Raw genomic sequence first — 3,947 nt, forward strand, 5'->3', positions numbered from 1 at the left:
TCATACTCTTTGACAGAGTACTTCCACGGTTGTTGTTGGGGTTGCCGCACAGCTGTGAAGCCTGTGCAGTTGCACACTTCCAGGAGATGCCATCACATGGACTACAATGTGAAGGATTCCCCCAGAGTTGTGTGGCGAGGCAGTCTTCCCACCTCCCATTCTCTGTTCAGCTCTGTCCAATTAATTCAGCAAGCATTTGTTTGTCATCTACTACACTAGACATTGTTCTAGACAGAAATATCGGGAAACAAAGCATACAAAAATGTTTGCCCTTGTAGTGCTTTATGTTCTAGTGAAGGAGAAAGATGATAAGGAGAATAAAGAGTGACACATATGCAAGCTTCCTGGAGGTCAAGTAGCCCAGTTTTTGGCAGAGGGAATAGCCAGTGGGAAGAAGGCAGGCAGGGCAAATATTTACAACCCTCGTTTTACAGAAGAGAACATTGGAACTTAGGGAGGTTTAAGGGATGGCTGAGGGTCAGAACGTGGTCAGCACCAGAAGCAAGGCCTTTCAATTGCAAGGTCAGGGTTCCTTCCACACTGGGACAAGAGGCAGCACCTGCAAGATAAGGTAGAGGTGAATGAACCTAGGTGGCTTTAGTTAGATTCTGCAGACTTTTATGACAGGCCAATGCATATAAATGATAATAGCTGACATCACATTAAGAAAAAGATGCAGCATCTCATGAGATCTACTACATGCTCCTGATTAGGAAAAGGAATGTTGAAAAATAGCACTGAGTTTATAAAAATAGCGTTTAGGGTGTAATTCTCATTTTTTTAGTACATGAATGCTTAAGAAAGATGTTCATCAAATGTTAGCAATGCTTATTACTTGATGGTAGGATTTCAAAGAGTTTTAAATTTTCTTCTTTATTCTTTTCTGAATTGTTTGAGTTTTTTGCAATGAGAGTGTGAAAACAGAAGAAATAAAAAAGTTTGATGTTAGAAAGATACCATTAAGCTAACATTTACACACTCTGTGCTGTTCCACAGCACCTGTAGTACCACTATTTCTTTGTAAATTCTTCCAGGGCAGAGACTGTGTTTTATTCATTCTTCTTTGCCCAGCATGTGGAACCTCCTACAAAACAAGCATTCAACAGGGTTTGTGGAACAAATGCAAAGTGCATTTGCGAACTGCAGCTTATATAATCTACAACAGACACCTAGGGGGGCTCAGGAATGACACGAACAGTTTCCAGCCGAAGGGAATTTCATTTTCTTTTCTAGTTGGAGTTTCCATGGCACCCAGAAGACCAGGGATCCTGGTAAGAAAGTTTTAAAACGCTGAAGTGGTAAGTTTGTAAATTTGTGATACCTGGTGTCAAGTCCTACTTCAGGAATCTACAAAAATTGGGCCTTTTGAATAGAAGTGTTTTAGTGAATAATGAGTGATGTGGCAACTTATTCTGATAATATTTCAATCTAGCTTTTTGCTTTTAATGGTAGTTGCCATTTCTATTGGGCTGCATCATTCCCAGGAAAGCCTTCTTTTAAAATCAGTACAGGATGTGTGCATCCTAATACAAAAATCCCAAATCCAGAAATGCCCCTGAATCTGAAAGTTTTTCAGTGCTAATATGAGATAGTGAAACCTTTGCTTTCAGATGGTTCAGTGTACAAAAACATTGTTTCATAGACAAAATTATTTAAGGTGTTGTATAAAATTACTTTCAGACTATGTGCCTAAGGTATATATGAAACATAAATGAATTCCATGTTTAGATTTGGGTCTCACTCCCAGATATCTCATTATATATATGCAAATATTCCAAAATCAAAATCAAAAACAAACAAACAAAAAAACCGCCAAATCCGAAACACTTCTGGTTTCAAGCATTTTGGAGAAGGGATTTTCAGCCTCTCCCTAGAGATTAATTTGTTTGATGTGGTCAATTGCCTGATTATTCAAACTCCTCAAAAAGTGCAGGTCTTTCCTCCATACCACCTGTTTAGGTTTTGAATAGTTTAGAAAAAAAAATAAGTGACTGTCTTTAAGTCATTGATTAAAAGTTAATAGCCTTAAAATGTTTCCATTCCTATTTTATTACAAAGTATTGCTCGAAACAAGTTTTAATAGTGAGAAGGAAAGTTGTCACCCATAGGTTTAGGCACAATTTTTCAGTCTCCTTTACTCACTTAGCATTAGACTAGAAACACTTTCCCAATGATTTTTTGAATACTTGTGTAGCATTTGAACTTGTAGATGACCACACTGTACAAAACCATTGCAGAATTAGCATACATTCATATTAGTGTTAGTTTTTTAGTGATTTTTAATTGAACAGGGAAATTTTACATATTTGGCTCTATTCTGTAACTACAAGCAAAATTCTAACTGACTTTTCCCTCTTTCAGATTCTTAATTATTAAACTCATCTGACCATTTTTATTTTTATTTATTTAATTGACAAAGAGCGTATATACTCAAGGTGTACAATGCAATTATTTGATATGCCTAAATTAGGTTGGTGCAATTAGTTTGCACCAACCTAATACATTGTATAATTACTACAATCAAATTAATTAATACATACATTATCACCCATGCTATACATTAGATTCTCAGAAATTGCTCATCTTATAACTGAAAGTTTGTCCCCTTTGGTCAAAATCTACCCATTTCCCCCACCGCCATTCCCTGGCAACTGCCATGGTACTCTATGTTTTGATGAGTTCAACTCTCTTATATTCTGCATATAATACACTGTTGACCCTTGAACAGCGTGGAGTTTGAGCACTGACCCCTGCATAGTCGCAAATCAGCATATAACTTTTTCTTAAGGCATGGGGTCTCACTATGTTTCCCAGACTGGGCCTTGAATTACCTTGGCCTTAAAACTTGATTCTCCAAAAGCTTAACTACTAATAGCCTACTATTGACCAATAGCCTTACCAATAACGTAAACACTTGATTAACATGTATTTTGTATATGTATTATATACTGTATTTGTACGCTAAAGTAAACTATAGAAAAGATGGTGTTATTAAGAAAATCATAAGGAAAAGAAAATATATTTACTATTCCTTAAGTCAAAGCGGAGAGGTCTTCATACTCCTTGTGTTCCTATTGGGTAGACTGAGGAAGAGAAGGAAGAGGAGGATTGGTCTTGCTGTCTCAGATGTGACAGAAACAGAAGAAAATTCACATATAAGTGGACCTGTACCATTCAAACTCATGATGTTCTATTAGTCTATGTGTTTGTTTTTATGCCAGTACCATACTCTTTAGATTAACATAGCTTTGTAACATAGTTTGAAATCAGGAAATGTGATGCCTCCAGCTTCGCTCTTCTTTCTCAAGATTGCTTTGGTCAGGTTTTTTTGTGGTTCCATATGAATCTTAGAATTATTTTTTCTCTATCTGTGAAGAATGCTGCCATTGGAATTTTGATAGAGTTTGCAATGAACCTATAGATCACCTTGGGTAGTATGGATATTTTAATAATATTAATTCTGATACATGAACATGTGATGTCTTTCTTTTTATTTGTGTCATCTTCAATTTATTTTCTCAGTGTTTTATATGCTGATATTTAAACTTCTTGGTTAAATGTATTCCTAAGTAATTTTATTGTGCTTGTTGCTATTGTAAGTAGGATTGTTTTCTTTCTTTCTTTTTCAGATAATTTGTTGGTGCTGTATAGAAGTGCAATTCATTGTTCAATTCCCACCAGTGATTGAGAACGTGCGGTGTTTGGTTTTTTGTCCTTGCGATAGTTTGCTGAGAATGATGGTTTCCAGCTTCATCCATGTCTCTACAAAGGACATGAACTCATCATTTTTTATGGCAGCATAGTATTCCATGGTGTATATGTGCCACATTTTCTTAATCCAGTCTATCATTGTTGGAGTTAATGGGTGCAGCACACCAACATGGCACATGTATACATATGTAACAAACCTGCACGTTGTGCACATGTACCCTAAAACTTAAAGTATA

The 3,947-nt window shown here is 36.3% G+C and overlaps 1 long non-coding RNA gene across 2 annotated transcripts; it reads left to right on the forward strand.

The window, feature by feature from the left end:
* The first annotated feature begins 392 nt into the window (after nt 1–392).
* Nucleotides 393–3,730, forward strand: LOC105377242 (uncharacterized). 2 transcript variants are annotated; one of them, XR_938671.3, is made up of 3 exons: nt 393–571; nt 1,234–1,298; nt 3,630–3,730. It is a non-coding gene; the product is annotated as an uncharacterized LOC105377242 (long non-coding RNA). The 2 variants fall into 2 exon arrangements; XR_938672.3 differs by having other exon boundaries at nt 1,234–1,271.
* The last annotated feature ends 217 nt before the right edge of the window (nt 3,731–3,947 follow it).

The sequence above is a fragment of the Homo sapiens genome, chromosome Y (genome assembly GCF_000001405.40).
Source record: "Homo sapiens chromosome Y, GRCh38.p14 Primary Assembly".
Classification (NCBI taxonomy): domain Eukaryota; kingdom Metazoa; phylum Chordata; class Mammalia; order Primates; family Hominidae; genus Homo; species Homo sapiens.